The sequence below is a fragment of the Homo sapiens genome, chromosome X (genome assembly GCF_000001405.40).
Source record: "Homo sapiens chromosome X, GRCh38.p14 Primary Assembly".
Taxonomy (NCBI): Eukaryota; Metazoa; Chordata; class Mammalia; order Primates; family Hominidae; genus Homo; species Homo sapiens.
Window position 1 is genome coordinate 24,976,216 of NC_000023.11, and position 16,415 is coordinate 24,992,630.

General features: G+C 40.4%; 1 protein-coding gene and 1 long non-coding RNA gene across 9 annotated transcripts in view, besides 1 other annotated feature; both read left to right on the forward strand.

The window, feature by feature from the left end:
• Positions 1-16,415, forward strand: part of POLA1 (DNA polymerase alpha 1, catalytic subunit) — a 303,069-nt gene that overhangs the window by 282,298 nt on the left and 4,356 nt on the right. The window lies entirely within an intron of this gene.
• On the forward strand, positions 9,910-14,143 carry LOC124905263 (uncharacterized). Its single transcript, XR_007068417.1, has 2 exons — positions 9,910-11,145; positions 11,413-14,143. It is a non-coding gene; the product is annotated as an uncharacterized LOC124905263 (long non-coding RNA).
• Positions 13,547-15,249: an enhancer, noted in NCBI's record as "VISTA enhancer hs121". NCBI's record gives its function as "enhancer in: forebrain[6/6]" and the evidence as "EXISTENCE:transgenic organism evidence [ECO:0001131][PMID:17130149]".

The window sequence follows — 16,415 nt, forward strand, 5'->3', positions numbered from 1 at the left end:
AAAGTTACACAGCCAGAAAGGCATGCCTTGGCCATTTTGGGAAAGCAGTACAGCCCCAAAGCAAGCTCAAATCGGAGTGTTTGAAGAAAGCAAGTTCCATTGCCACTGTTGTCGGCCTGTGTCCTGCCCACCTCTGTATGCACAGCCACAACTTCAAGTAATTACAATAAAGTGTTGATCATGAACACTCCCAGTTTTCAAAAAAGAGTTAACCACCCCTGTAATGTACATTTTGGATAAAAATTTCCTTTAAAAGTTCTCATTCTCATAATTCACAATAAATTCCAGTCTTCTCAGCAAATTCAGCTACCCTAAGAGTTCTAGAGCTAAGGTGCTCCTGTCACTTGATGAAAGTTAATAAAGCTTCCCAAATATTCCTGGACAGACACAGAAATGGACAATGATTGCTTCTAAGAAAGGACATGGGATGAGTGGGAGACTTCTTTGTTGGTTGGTTAATTTTAATTTCATTAGTTAAACATGCACATAATTTGAATTATCAGAAGTTCATATGTCTGGTTACAAAAAGCAGTCCCTTTCCTTCCCATTTCCCAGTCTTCAAACACAACCACTTGGGACTCCTTCCACTGCTGTTTTCAGTATTCACCTCCTTATCTCTAAATAATAGGCACAGAGTGCATCTCCCAGTAATCTCCTACAATGAGAAAAGAGGCCTTAACACCTCCAGCCATGGTCCTCAGGCAGTTAGAGCATGATTCCGGCAGACTGATTGATTGATACCAATAGCCACTATTGATACATACCAATTCTTCCTCTGCTTTTCTAAACCTGCTCTTAAATCAGTTCACACATAACTGGTATCTGAGCTGATGACCCTCGCGGCCTGATGCACAGCTGTTATCCTGGGAATCTTCCTTTACCATCATCTGGGTATTGCCTTCACATATCACTTATTTCAGAGTCCCTGTGCCCTACAGTCTGTATCTTTGTTTACTGTCCCTCTTTTGGGGAGAGGTAAAACATCTCTTCCAGTAGCTTCCTGAGAAAGAGTACTTGGCAGATGAAGCTTTTGAGACCTTTCTTGTCTTAAAATGTCCTTAATTCACCCTCATACTTAATTGATAGTTAGATACAGAATTCTAGGCTGGAACTCAGTGTTCCTCATAATTTTGAAAACATTGTTCTACTGTCATCTTTTTTAGTGTTGCTTTTGAAAAGTTGAAAGCTTTTCTGAGTCCTAATCCTTTATATATTTGACCTGTGTCCTTTTTTTTTCTCCTTCCTTGTTAGACACTTGGAGGATTTCCTTTGCACCCAGTGCATGGGCACATTCATGATGGTGTGTTTTGGTCTGGGGCAGTTTTCATTTATGGTGCTGGGTACTTGGTGGGCTCTTTCCATTTGGAAAGTCAAGCCCTCCAGTTCTGGGAAGTTTTCTTGAATTTCTTCTTTGATTTCCTTCCTACCATGTCCAATTATGTTTTAATTTCTAAGAACTAGAATTTTCTTGTTTTTGCAGTGTTCCTGTTCTCATGGATGTGATCTGTCAATAACTTGAGATCTCTTCTTGTGTGCTGGTCAGATTCCCCAGAATAGATCCAGTCTCCTCCCTGAAGAGGATTAGCTGGCTTCGGGCATCTGGAACTTGGGGTCTTGGCACAGCATGCCTTGGTGGGCTCAGAGACCCTCATCAAGAGAATAAGCCTTCTGCCAGAGTGGAGGTGGGGGTTTGGGGTCTCTGTCTTGAATATACTTTGAACCGGTCTTCACTCATACTTCCAGAGATAGCTTGGGGCACCAATTCATGAGCCTTTGGGAGTAAGTCATCTCTTGTTTTTCTGCTCGCTAGCTTTTGCTGCCAGCACCTCCACTACTATTTTCCTCTTTCTTGGAGTTTCTTTTGTCTTTTAAAAAGTCCCTTACTGTAATTTGAGTGAGGATTTGGGAGTTTACAGAGCAAAATATGTGTATTTAGTGTGCCATCTATAACCAGAAATCAGAGAGTTTTCAATGTAGGCTTTTTTGTGTGCATTTTGAATTTTGTCCACATTTTTGTACTAGGAATTCAATATTTGTAAATCAAGCTTCCATCTTTGTTCTTACAATTAAGAGGGAAATGTCCACTTCTGTGTGTACTATCCTTTGAACGTTCAAAGGCCTCACAATATTTGTATATTTGGTACAATGTACCAGATGTTTGCAGGGATCTTTTTTACATATTACCTCATATTCCACCCAGGTCAAATTTGATGAGAAAGAGTTCTTTTTTCTTTTTGGTTAGATTCTAGATGATACCCACAGTTCAAACTGTAAAAGAATAAGTTTGCCAATAGTAATAATTAATAGCATTTATTGAACACTAAGCACCAGACACTATTATAAGCATGTTCTGTGTTTTAACTTATTTAATTTTCACAACTACCCTATGAAGTAGGTACTGCTGTTGTCCCTAAATGATAGATGAGGAAATGGAGGTCCGGAGAGGTTTAAAAGCCTGCTCAAGGTAACATAGCAAGTTAATGGCAGAGTCAGGATTGCAACCCCAATAGTCTGGCTGTAGAGTACATTTTAAACATAACTACTGTGTGCACAAGGCTAATGATTTATGGATTGCATGAATAACTAAAGATGATGTCCCCAACTTTGTTAGAGATATCCCCAAACTTCCTTAATGGATCGGTTGTCATAACTTCACCAACTTACAGCTCTTTTTTTCCACATAAAACTTGCCAAAATGCCTTCAGACTGAAGGGAGAAAAAATTTAACTGTTTCCTTCAAATTAAATTTTATTAGCAGAGAACTAGTATTAAGATCATTGCATGAAGAAAATGTAAATTAGCCGCTTACTGTAAAATAGTATTAGAGAAGGCAAGTGATAAACATGTCTATTCCTCTTTTTCCCTTTATTAGTGGTTAATAATCAATAAATAGCAGCTTAATGATTAACATTATAAAAGATTACATAAGAGTTTTAGAAGAATTTAGATTTTCTTTACTAGGTAGTCATCTTCATTTTTATAAAACTGACATCAGTGTTAAGCCATTTTTACCACAGGTTAAAATTTGACTGACCTATTCTGTTGCTGACTGAGTCATACCAGGTCACTGAAACCTAAAATAAGTATGTTGTAAGCATCGCGTAACAATTATAACCTATTTAGATCCAAGATCCACTTAAGACATGTTGACTTCTTTTCTGCATCACTGAGATGGCCGACACATCCATCAATAATGTGCTGAAGTTCTCATTAGCTCTCTATACAGGGAAGGATGCCAGCAAAATGTACAGAAGTAAATTCACTGGAATCTCTGGTCAGAAATTATGACTGTTCTATATGTCAGCCCATGTGTTGCTAACAGATTTTTTTCTTTACAAAAATGTGTTTTGTGGTTTGATTTGACCCATGGTTCATCTGAATCCAGGCAATTACACTTATATTAAGGGTTCTACTGTCCACTTTCTCCTCATCTTGAGAAATGTCAAAAGGCACATATCCTGCATCTGAAGGAAACACAAGAAACAAAAATGGAAATGCCTGAAGAGTGCTTTCACCTGCATTAATCAAGGGACAGCTGCTGCCATTCCCAAGGCGCTGCCCTGCAGTTGGCTGAGCAGACCCACATGGGCCTGCTGAATTAAGTCTGAATTAAGAGTCAGACTGCGAGTGATGCTGCCTCTGTGTTTAGGTGAAAAGGCCACTTTAGCAAGTGTAATAAAATGTATAGACTCAGGTGAGACTCCAGGGGAAATTTTGCCCCTTGAGTTTGGGTTGGAGAAATGACCTCCAGATCTCTAATATCATTCACTGTGGAGGAGATGTGGACCATGTATTTTTTCCTTTTCTTCCCTTTATAAGATGGTAATTTCCCCTTAGGGATTTGGGTTTCTCTGTTGTATGCATTAATAGGGAGATGGGGGAGAGAGAGAGAGAGTCACAAATTAAAGTCATTTTATGGTAAGTGTCTATGCCTTTTCACCTCTATGCTTCACTTTGTAGAACTCGTCAGGAAAATCATTCAGGTGACGACTATGCATTTTGATGTTAACAGATCCGACTCTTACCGGGTAGACGACCAGTTAACAACATGAAATAAGGCAGTGATGGTTTTTGAAATGAAATAATGTTTGATGTAACCTCGAGTTTCTCTCTGAACTCTGACCACACTGTAGAAACCCCTAGGAGGAGGTGAGCAGCTCTGTCAGGCACAGAATTACACCCAGGGAAGAAAAATTAATTCCAATACTAAGGGAGAAGGCTGTGTTCTCTTGCATGATATTTAGCAGCAAGAGCAAGGAGAGGGATGTTTCCTTCTTTGTGTAATGTGCAGTAGTTACAATAAACACAAGATTTCCAAATCTCAGAGGACTCTTCTTGACAGTTGCTTGATAACAGCTTTTTTCATTCCATAGTTTTGACAGTTTGTGTGTGTTGCCATATCTAGTGTAAACTAAAACATCACTGTCATTCTGTTTTTCTTTTGTATGTGGCTTTTTTTTTTTCATCTTTAGGATAATGAAAAAGATGGGCTTTTCACTTGTAGACTAGAGTAAGGCAAGTTGTGTGTGGAGATTAGCATGTGTTTATAAGTTTTGAAAGATTCAAGTTGACAGCAGAACACTGCTTTAAATAATTTTTTTCTCCATATCGCTTCAGTAAAAGTACAAGTGGGATGTGTAAGTTTTCTCTTAATCTTTTGATAAATAGCAAACCTTAGGCATCTGTGTGGGTACCTATATTATTTATCGGTGGTTATTGAAAATGAATGACTACAATGAACATCTCTAGAGCTCCTGGCTGTGTAGCCTTTGATAAGTGGTGAGCATCCTGTATCTTACTGTTACCAGGGTCTTGCCCTGCCCCACGTAGGTGCTTTTCAGTCCCTCGCTATGCTTCCCTTCACTTGATGGATCCCCTATCCCACCCACCTCTGTCAGGTTTATAGCTATGCTACGTTATTGGTTTGTGTCCAAACCAACAGGATGATATTGTTGTTGTGGTTGATGATTTATCTGGAGTAACTCTAGAAACTACATTGCATCTGCACTGTTTGAGAGGCTGCAGGGCAGGTGATGGGCCAGAAGCCCAAGTCAGGATCAGAGCAGTCTTTACTCATCAGATGTGAACTCTCAGATTCCCCAAAGTCAGGAAGGGATCCCATACCTGAGAGACCTTCCCCCCTCCAGCCCCAATAACCTTTGATTTGTAGAAGTCTCAGTGAGGTTATTTTGCCATCAAACCAAATTTGCTGTAGCATAGCAAAGCTCCCAATGCCGTCATCTGGCATGTTACAGACAAATTCCAATTACTTTTCTACTTCGAGCTATTGTTAAACACTACAAGCTAGCTGACAGTAAAATTATAAATACAGGTGTTGTCACACTACACTATAATCAGAATTTTAATTTGAATTTTCATTTGTAAAGCCTTTTTTTCAGATGAAAATGGGAATAGAATTAGTTTTATTGACAGTAAAAAGACATTTTGAAAGCTTCCTAAATCATTACCTGTATTTAGCAGGAGGAAAAATTGTATATGTCCATGTAAAAAGAAGAGTTTTATTATCACATATTTACTCATTATATTTGGTGGTAAATAAAACGGGGAAGACATGTTTGACAAATGATTGACGGAACTCACTAGGTTTTTGCTTCATCAGAACAATAGACAGACATAAATATATATTTTGCTTTTGTTTTGTTCTGCTATTACTAATGCAGACCTGTAGACAAAATCTGTTTCTAGCAAATTAAGTGCAGCCTATTGGGAGTCTGCATGCAATGCTAAACTTTTTATTTGGCAATTTTCTCTTTTCACCCAGATTCATCATCTGTGGCGCTCTTTTTACCCCTTTTGCGTGGTGGTTGGAGTGGGTTCCCCCTTCTCAGGTCCCTTTTTTTTTTCCCTCAAGGCATTTAGTGTCGTGTCTGCCAGATTTCAGTGATGAGCAGCGAATTGCTTTTAAAGTGGGCATTATGCCAGTTCAGCAGCACAATGGAAAACCAATCTTCCACCATTCTACTTTTGATGCTGTTATTGTAGCATTTTAGATAACTGCTGCCACAAAAAAAAAGAAAGAAAAAAAGATGTGCTCAATTGCTACCAGTTAGTCAAGTTAAATCCAGAGTAGCATTAAAATTACTCTGAAAACTCTTTGTCAGAGGTCATGTGCCGTCTGTGGCTGCCACACATAGGATGGATGTTCTGTTCAGGTGGGGGTTTTTCCCTTTATTATTACTGTGACTGACCAGCTCTCTAAATAGCCCTTTACTACCTGTTTACTTATTGTCTTCACCTCCCTGTTGAAAAAATGTGTCAAGCAGAAATGTTGAAAAGTTTCTTTAAAGTGCTGGAAATAGCAGGAGAGTGAGTCGTTCAGGGTGCTAGAGTTTGTACAATGTGAAAGCAAAAAAAAAAGTCGGGGGAGAGCAAGAACATAATTCTCTGGTTTCTATAGCAAGATTACTGTTTTCTTCTTTTTATCTTCACTTTTCAACCACTGGGTTCACTGTTCTACTTTTTTTTTAATAGCACAAATGGAATTTATCTTCTCTCCATCTCAAGTCCCTCCCCTCCCTCCACTGGCTTTGCTTGTGAATGAAAGGGACTCCTACTATGACTAAGGACAGATGGCAGCTGTATACGTTGTATTTGATGTATTTTGGAGTGAGCCATATTTTAAAATTCAGGGCCAATAGATGGGCTATTTTGAGAGTGGCACTAGCGCCATCCTTTAAGCCTGCTCCATTTCCTCCAAATTTATTTACATTTTAAAAATTATATAAATAAGCTATAATCTGTGCTCAAAATAATTGAGTTGTGATCTTTTAACTGTATTGCATTAATAATAAAAGCAACTCAGACTTCTGGGCTGCCTTTCTTCTAAAGAGTATGTGTTCATTTATCTTTATGTTGTCTCTAATGGATTTTTCTCGTTTATGTTAATCATATCTCTAGTATTATCAGATTCTGATCCTAATGAAGGCAGGCACTTTTGTCTGTTTTGTCCATTCCTATGTCCCAGGGCTTAGAATAGTATCTGGCACGTAGTAGGCACTCAGTAAATATTTGCTGAATGAATTAATAATTCATGTTTCTATGGGTACATCGAATTGTAGTGTATTTACTTATTTGTATGTTTTCCTCTCCAGCTAGAATGCCAAACTGTGCTCCTGAAATACAGCAGGCGTGCTAAGGCATTTTGGAATCCTTTCTTCATCTCTACCCTATCCCAAATTGTACATGACACCCAGTCAGTACTTAATAAATATTTGTCAAATAAACAAGTAGAGAAGCCCAAACGCAATTTATTTGCCAGTGAAAGATATGGTCATTTGGTGGTAGAGATGAGGATAGGTTAATGGCCCATCAATCAGTATTGTTAAGAGTCTCCACGTTCTTAGCCTTATGTTAATTCAGAGTTCTTTCCCAGGTATCCTATTGGTTTTCTGGGCTTATTGCCAAGCATATTTTAGATCCATATTTTCCTTCAGTTTACAGTTTAAGAGCATTTTAATTTTTGCTAAAGCTTGCAAAAAAAGGCTCTGATAATGATGCAGTCAATATCAGTAACCATCCCATTTGCTAGTGCCATCTAGATGAATCCATTGTGTAGATCGTCCTGTCTTAATATGGGAGGGAGACTGCTGTGCATGGTGGGATGGCCTATAGCAGTTAGACCTCTCTAAGCACCATTTGCCTCTTCTGTGGAATTGTGGTTTAGTCATTCTGTCGTGTCCTCTACTACCTGCCTCCCCCAAAACTCCCTGCTTCCGTCTGCAAAATGAGGACCTAGAGGCTGCTTAACAAGGCCAGAGGCTTCAGAGAATTCAGTGACTTAATCAAGAACTGTACTGTGTAAGAGACACACTGCTTTCCCTTTAAATCATTGAGTGTAAGAGACACACCGCTTTCCCTTTTAATCATTGAGTCATAAATGTGACATAGCTTTAAATGGATAGCAACAATTTGCAAATCAATAAGACCCATTTTGTAATTAGCTTTGGACTAAGCATTAAAAAGTATACATTGAGGATTATGGTAGTTAAAATGCTGAGCAGTGTGGGGATTCTTCCTTGGTAGCTGAAACTGTGCATAATAAACATACAGAAATGAGGATGGCGAGTTTCAGTTTTACCACAAGGTTATGCATTTATTTGAGAAGAATCTGAGATGTGCAATACAACATTCCCTAATATGCTCATTTCATCTTCTCTGCTATCATTGAACCTTCATCTAAGAAGAGCCAAGGAACAAACTGAAATAAGGATTCAGATTTTTATTAGAGTAAATGTAAACACATGTAGAGGGGAACATTTTGCCTTACATGGCCTACCATCAACGTTTTACACCGGAAAAAAAAAGTGTGTGTTTATTCCAGCATCCTGCATCAATACTGGCAAAAATTCTAAAGACTTGCAGTTGCTTGGGCCAAAGATGGAAAATTTTATATAAGAATGCTGAGGAGACCTTTTGCACTTTTTTTTTTTTTTTTTTTTTTTGAGACGGAGTCTTGCTCTGTTGCCCAGGCTGGAGTGCAGTGGCGCGATCTCGGCTCACTGCAAGCTCCGCCTCCCGGGTTCACGCCATTCTCCTGCCTCAGCCTCCCGAGGAGCTGGGACTACAGGCGCCCGCCACTACGCCCGGCTAATGTTTTTGTATTTTTAGTAGAGACGGGGTTTCACTGTGTTAGCCAGGATGGTCTCGATCTCCTGACCTCATGATCCGCCCGCCTCGGCCTCCCAAAGTGCTGGGATTACAGGCCTGAGCCACCGCACCCGGCCTGCACTTTTTAAGATAAATCATGCAGGCTGGAGAGTAGGAGTTTTGTGTGTGTGTGTCCCTTTACAAAGAGAGTTTAGAGGAAAGAGCATGAATTAAATTTGTGGCGTTGTGAAAAGCCTCTTTGGTCCGGTTTCCTCATGGCTATGGTGTCTCTTCTGTTTAACTTATGGGACTGTTGTTAGGATGAAATAAGATATGTATTTTTTGAACCCTCTATACCAGGAGTTGGCACACTTTTTCTATGAAGAGTCAGATAGTAGTTTCAGCTTTGAGGACCAGTCTCCTTTGCAGCTATTCAACTTCTCCACAGTAGCCATAGATAACACAGAAACAAATGGGCATGGCTGTGTTCCAATAAAACTTTATTAACAAAAACAAGTGGAAGCCGAGATTTGGCCTTCAGGCCATAGTTGCTAACCCTTACTCCATAATAATGAAATCATGAAACATAAAATACCAAATATTCTAATAACCCCCCATTTGGAAGTCAGCCATTGGAGTCAGTACCTGGCCACTCTTGTACAGTGTAGGCCTAAAGGGAGTATCTCTTTCTAGAGAAAGCCACTTTCCATTGTTTTTAGTTCAGTCTTCTCAATTTTTCACTAAACCCTCTAGAGAGAATTTAAATTCAGTTGAATATCCTTGTACAGGTTGAATATCCTAAATCTGGAAATCTGAAGTGCTCCAAAATCCAAGACTTTTTGAGCACCAGCATGACGCTCAAAGGAAATGCTCATTGGAGCATTTCAGAGTTCAGATTTTCGGATGTTCAGCTGGTGAGTGTGGTGCAGATATTTCAAAATCCAAAACACTTCTGGTCCCAAGCATTTCAGATAAGGGATATTCAATCAGTATTTATCAGTGGCTTCACTTTGGCCACCCACTGTCACAAAAGCATCCAGTCTTTTCTCTAAGAAAGGGTTCCTTCCAGCCAGGCGTGGTGGCTCATGCCTGTAATCCCAGCACTTTGAGAGACTGAGGTGGGCAGATCACCTGAGGTCAGGAGTTCAAGACCAGCCTGACCAACATGGAGAAACCCCGTCTGTACTAAAAATACAAAAATTAGCTAGACGTGGTGGCACTTGCCTGTAATCCTAGCTACTCAGGAGGCTGAGGCAGGAGAATCGCTTGAACCCGGGAGGCAGAGGTTGCAGTGAGCCGAGATCGCGCCATTGCACTCCAGCCTGTGCAACAAGAGCGAAACTCCATCTCAAAAAAAAAGAAAGGGTTCCTTCTTTATGACAGTTTCCTCAGAGCCATGACATTAATCAGGGTGGAGAAGGGATGCCAGTATTAAAATAGCTAAGTAGGGTGGAGCACTGCCACCCATTACCTCCACTGGGCAATCCTTGAGTCTTTGGTTGGTAAGAAGAGTTGAAAAGAGGGACAGTGGCTATGTTAGTGATCAACCAGTTAAGATTTCAAGATATGTGAGTTCAAAGCTGCAATGAGCTATGACCACTGCACTCCAGCCTGGACAACAGAGCAAGAGTAAGACTTTGTCTCTTTAAATATATATATATATAGTCAGGTGACCGGTAGCTCACACCTGTAATCTCAGCACTGTGAGATGCCAGGAGTTTAAGACAAGCCTGGGCAACACAGCAAGACCCCATCTCCACATAAAAATGTAAAAATTAGCCAGGTATGGTAGTACATACCTATACTTCCAGCTATGTGGGAGTCTGAGGTGAGAGGATTATTGGAGCCCAGGAGTATGATCATGCCACTGCACTCCAGCCTGACAGAGTAAGACCCTGTCTCTTAACATATATATATATATATGTATGTATGTATGTTTATATATAGTCACTTTAAAAGTCTGCCTTTGACTTTATTATCACTCTGCTTTCTCAGATTTCTTAAGTCCTTAAATTTCTCCCCCACTCTTAGGTGCTCCACACTAAGTTACTGAGTTCCCCTGTATTTCCACCAGTTATCCAGAGCGTTGGCCCTCTCTGATAGGCAGCTTCTAAGATGGCACCCAGTGACTATTATTTGTGCAGTGGTCCTCTTCCCTTGGGTATGGCCTGGACCAAGTGACTCTCTTCTTAAAAAGGAATACAGCAAAAGCAATGAAATGTCACTACTGAGATTAGGGTACAAAAGATGTTGACTTCTGTCTTGAGCATTCTCACTCTCTCACTCACTCACTCTGAGGGAAACCAGCTGCCATATTGTGAGTTGGGGAAGCCCATGTGATGAGGAACTGGGGCCTCAGTTCAGCAACCTAAGAGGAATAGCAGTCCACATGAAGAGAACTTGGAAATGATCCTTGCCCCGTTGAGCACTCAGGAGACAGTGGGACTGACACCTTGATTGTAGCCTTGTGAGAAACCTTGAGCCAGAGATGCCCAGCTCAGCCATGCTTGGATTCCTGTCCCACAGAAACCGAGAAATGTATGTATTGTGTGTTATGTTTAGCCATCAAATCATGGGGTGATTTGTTACACAGCAATGGTCCACTAATAAACCCTTTAAAGTGCAATGCTTATTTAAGCTTCTGTTTCTCATAACCTGTTTGACAGTGCCTTGCATGTAGCAGGTTATCCACAGATACTTGTTTACTGATCCGCTTACACTAAATGTATAGTCATATGTTTCATTATTATTTTGCCAGAATACTGATTTGGCTTAATCAAAAATGTTCATCTTTTTCTCCACAAGGTATGTAACTCACCATCTTGAGGTATGGCATCTGTGGATCCATGATACCCAAGCAGGAAGGGAATGTTCCCTACCCGCAAACAAATACGGAACCCAAGAAAGGCTGAGTGCCCCTGGAATCGTTGTAACTTTATCCTTCCCCAGTGTGCAGAAGGGAAAGGGTGTTACGAGAATCTTGCCTTCATGTCAGGATTTAGGAAGGCACGACCTCTTTTCTACACTCTATCCAGAATGTGATGGTGACCTGGAATGGTAAGGGCCCCACCAAGAAGACCTGTTTATAGCACAGCTGTTACCTTCACCATCCAACTGTGGCCTCGCTTTAGTTCCAGCTGTTTATATTAGTCAAAACTGTCCCTAACACCACAGCATAGGCTGTGAGAACAAGAGGCTAGTGAGAAGGGAAGATATCCAGAGGATTAAGAAGCAACCAAGCCATGGCCTATGTTCTTTTGACTTTATCCCCAAAAGAACAACAGCTTAGCTGATGGTACAGCCTTTGGCCCAAGAAATGTAAAAGCCATTCCTTCAGGTGCCTATTTGCATATTTCTACACCCTGAGGGCTTTTTTCTTCTCCCACCTGTGGTAAATGACTGTGTACACTGGACTGTATTTACTGCCTATCTGTTGTCATCATTGTCATCAACTAACATTTGTTGACCATTAACATGGTCTCAGAAACTGCCTGGGCACTCTAATCCGTCAGCCTGTGCATTCATTAAAGTGAAGGAAAATAAGCAGAGGCTTGACATTCAGAAATAAGAGCCCAGAAATGAGTCCAGAATTTCCGATTCTAAAGCCAGTGCCAACTCCCAGGCCACACTCACTGCATTTAATGCATATGCATTTTCTTTTCCTCACATCTGCTCTTCCTTTGCAAGAATGTCCCAGCCTGTGTACACACCCATATCCTGTTACCTCTCCAGAGTAAACGATTTCCAGTTCCTGTGGATATTGCATGTCACCACATAGGATTAAACAGCCTGAATTTTTTTATGTGCCCATCTTTAGAAGCCTTATAAGTAGAGATTAAGATGTTTATCAAGATTAGAAATGCGGCTGGGCACAGTGGCTGACACCTCTAATCCAGCACTTTGGGAGGCCGAGGTGGCAGATCACTTAAGGTCAGGAGTTTGAGACCAGCCTGGTCAACATGGCAAGACCCTGTCTCTACTAAAAATACAAAAATTAGCCAGGCGTGGTGGCAGGCACCTGTAATCCTAGCTACTCGGGAGGATGAGGCAGGAGAATTGGTTGAACCCAGGAGGCGGAGGTTGCAGTGAGCCAAGATCCCACCACTGCACTCCAGCCTGGGTGACAAAGTGAGACTCCATCTCATAAATAAATAAATAGATTAGAAATGGTATGTGAGCAATAAAGATGTTGTGTATGCTTCTTGGATATTGTTGCTGACTCAAGACTTGAAAAGACTGGAGTCTTCAGGAAGAATGGTACTGGTGGAAAATGTTATTTCCATAATATGAAGTTGTGAGGTCATCAAAATCAGACATACCTAAAATTTTTATAGTCCTGGTTCTTAGTTGAGGGGGGCAGTATAAACTTATCAAAATCTTGGGAATGTTTAAGAAGCACAAACACATTTCTCACCTTCCTTTTCCCCACAAAAACCTGTGAGAACCAGGTTGGATGGTGAACACTGGTTGAATATGTTGACAAATAAACTTCCCAGGATTCGACTTGACTCTGTCCCAACCCCCTAACCCCCCTGAGCACCACTGACCTGGGACTGATCATCTCCTTGTCTGTCATGGAATATTAATTGGACATTAAGATTTTTAGATTTTTTTTTTTTTTGAGACAGGGTCTTACTCTGTTGCCCAGGCTGGAGTGCGGTGGCACAATCACAGCTCACTGCAGCCTCTACCTTCTGGGCCCATCTCCCACCTCAGCCTCCCATGTAGCTGGGACCACAGGCATGCGCCACCATTCCTAGCTAATGAAGATACTCAGAATGCTTCCATTTTCTCATGACTTCATGTGTATTAAAAAGTAGTGCTTACATCAAATTTCACTGTAGTCACTATCCCATTGGCTTTGATTAAATTACAAGCTTCTGTGTAGAATGCCGTGAAAGGTTTTTGCGAATTGCAGTAATAGCCATGGGGGGTGGGGGTGGGTGATGAACATGTTTTCTGCTGGGGTAGTAACTCAGAACTCTAGGCCTTTGGTACAGTTGATCCTTAATAAGACTTAGTTTCAGGTTGGAAACTGTTTGTTGAAGGTCAACATTTTGTTGCTGCTTTTTCTGCTCAAATGTAGTATAGAATCATGTGGAGGATAAAATTTTGCTAGTTGTTCAGCGTATCCAGAACAGAGTTCTGGCAGTTAAGGCGTACAATACTCTTGTATACCTCAATGATGGCGCTTTTTAAACATTAGGGTAGTTTTAAAAAATTGCAATAAAGTCATTGTAATTCATAGACCATGCTGTAATACAGAGATACGTGTAAAATACAATCTGTGTACCTGATTGCAGGTAACAGAGTTAAATGTACCAGCAATTTCAAACACAGTTTGATATTTCCTATAATAAAATATAATGTAAAAAATTAAATATCCAATATCAATGGATTCTAAATGGTTTTGATATTTCTTTTTGTCCTTTCCCATGAAGAGTAATTTATTTCCCTTTTTAAAGTGTGGGCAGAATGATTACTAGCGCACTGTAATGTAATTGTGTTGCATTGATAAAATAAAAATTGTCCTTTATCTGTGTCCTGATAATGTTCAATTTACAGGCTGGCTTCTCTGCCACCTCTTCAGTGCTTTGAGTATTCCAGTTCTCCTCCCTTCCTGCTCTGAGAGCGCACAGAACTGTTTGAAATCCACTGGTACAATTGTCAAATCAATTATTCATTCTCTGCAATTATGCTCGCACAAAGAACATTTTGCTGGTCTGAATGATGATTAAATTAACAGCTATTCCAGCTGCCTGATAACATCTAATAGAATATTCATAAGCCCAAAATGGAATGAATTATCTCCATTAACTTCATCATGCTCACTTAATTACATGCTTGTTATTGTATTTACACCTTGTTAGATACCGCTGAAGCTGATCCAGTGGCTGGCCGGGAATTGGAAGCGTCTGTCATGGGGCAGTTGGAGCGCGTTTTGTAGGAAATGCTATTTATTTTAAATGCTCCACCTGCTGGGAGCCGAGGTTAGTCAGCAGCACTGAGATGAATTGGGAAACGGGGTGTAAAAAGAAATAATGTGCTTCTGACAGGCTCCGTGGCTTTTAAGTTGCTCTCATTCAGCCACTTCACAAAAAATTATTTTATTCCATCTCTCAGTGATGATGACATGATTGCTTTTTGGTAATCATTTACCATTCTGATTTTATTTTTTGAAGTAAATTGTCTGAAGTAATAGGTTCTTGGAATTACAGCGTGCCTTGCTTTTTTCTTAGAACTTTATTTAAGCTTGTCTTCCAGCATTTAACCCGAGTCCCCTCTTTCGTTTGATCTTCTAACTTTATTTATACAACAGTGCTTAATGATCCTGCACAATGTGTTTCTTTTTTTTTTTTCCTTCTCTACAACCTCCCCCCCCACACCCACCCAAAAAAAAATTCTGTCCAGTATGGTTGACAGTACTTTTTATAACCTCAGCAAGGGGGCTGCATGGGCAATTTTCTTCCGACATGACAAATGCAAACACCCAAAACCCAACCCTGAGAGAATCACTTCATCCAGTTGAAAGGAAATTTTTTATCTCTTTCAAGGTGACTCTTTTGCCACTGAAACATGGTAAGGGGCACGACTCTTACCTTCTATTCTTGTCTATAGAAGTGGCATTCTTTACATTGCTTTATTCTGTCTCCTCCCTTCTCGCATCGGCCTCTGCTCTTCCCCAAACTTCCACTGAACAACCCTTCCTGGTAGTTGGGCCCCATGGCACCTCCATTTGCTTTGAGTGTGAAGGGTCACTGTTCACCACCACCAGGCTGCAGCAAGCCTGTGTTTATTGAACATGAACCAGACCAATGGTGGAGAGAATTATAATCACACTTCTAAATACTTGTCAGATCAGCCTACAGCCTAGTAGAGCACTTGAGCTAAACCATGGATATTTTATTCTTCTTGAAGGCTGTATTTTGGTATCAACATAAAAGAAGAAAAAAGAAAGAAAACTGAAGATAATTATTTCTAAGTAGGAATGGAACTGGATAGTGGACTAACAGACTCTTCAAGCCTTCAGAAATATTTTAGCATCTAAGATGTGATTTAATGGGTGAGAATGGTCCTCTAGGCATTGGCTAATTGATAGACACATTGATCACTGTGTGTGCCTGGCACTGTGCCTTGTGAATTTTTTTTTTCTAAATAAGAATTGACTCAAAGATTATTTCTTTTCATTTCTTACTTTGAGAAATGTTTATGTACTTGCCATTTGATTTGGGGCCCTAAATGTCTTTGAGTTTAAAATATGGATGTCACTTGAAATCTTTCAGGTACTGTGCATAGCCGGAAGCTCAGTTATATGGATCGATATTCAGGAAAAAGGCAGGCCAGAGGCTCCAGCAGCTCTCTGTAGGTCGGATGGCTCTACGTGTAGAGAGCGTAGAGGGGTGCAGTTTTCTTTCAAATTTTTCTAAAGCTTCCTGCATTCCACCCCTTACTGCAAAGCTCACGTTGCATTGAGGGAGGGAGGCTATGGATTGGAAAAGGTGGGAGAACTGAGAACTGTATGGTGGGAAGCCATGCAATTAAAAAACTGACTGAAATTATTACCTGATTTCATAATTGACAGAATATTTAATTCAGATATAGTAAATTGACACACCTCTACACAGAGACAATTATGACTGACTGTATAACACCTGACAGAATCAATTATAACTGACTGTTGTTTGATACCTTTGTACAGAAATAAATGAAACAGACATTCAGAACAGAGACGGCTGCTGCCTGTGTGCCTAAGCCTGCCTTAATTAAAAGAAAATAACCAGTAGGCGATGTTAAAATGTCTTTGCCTC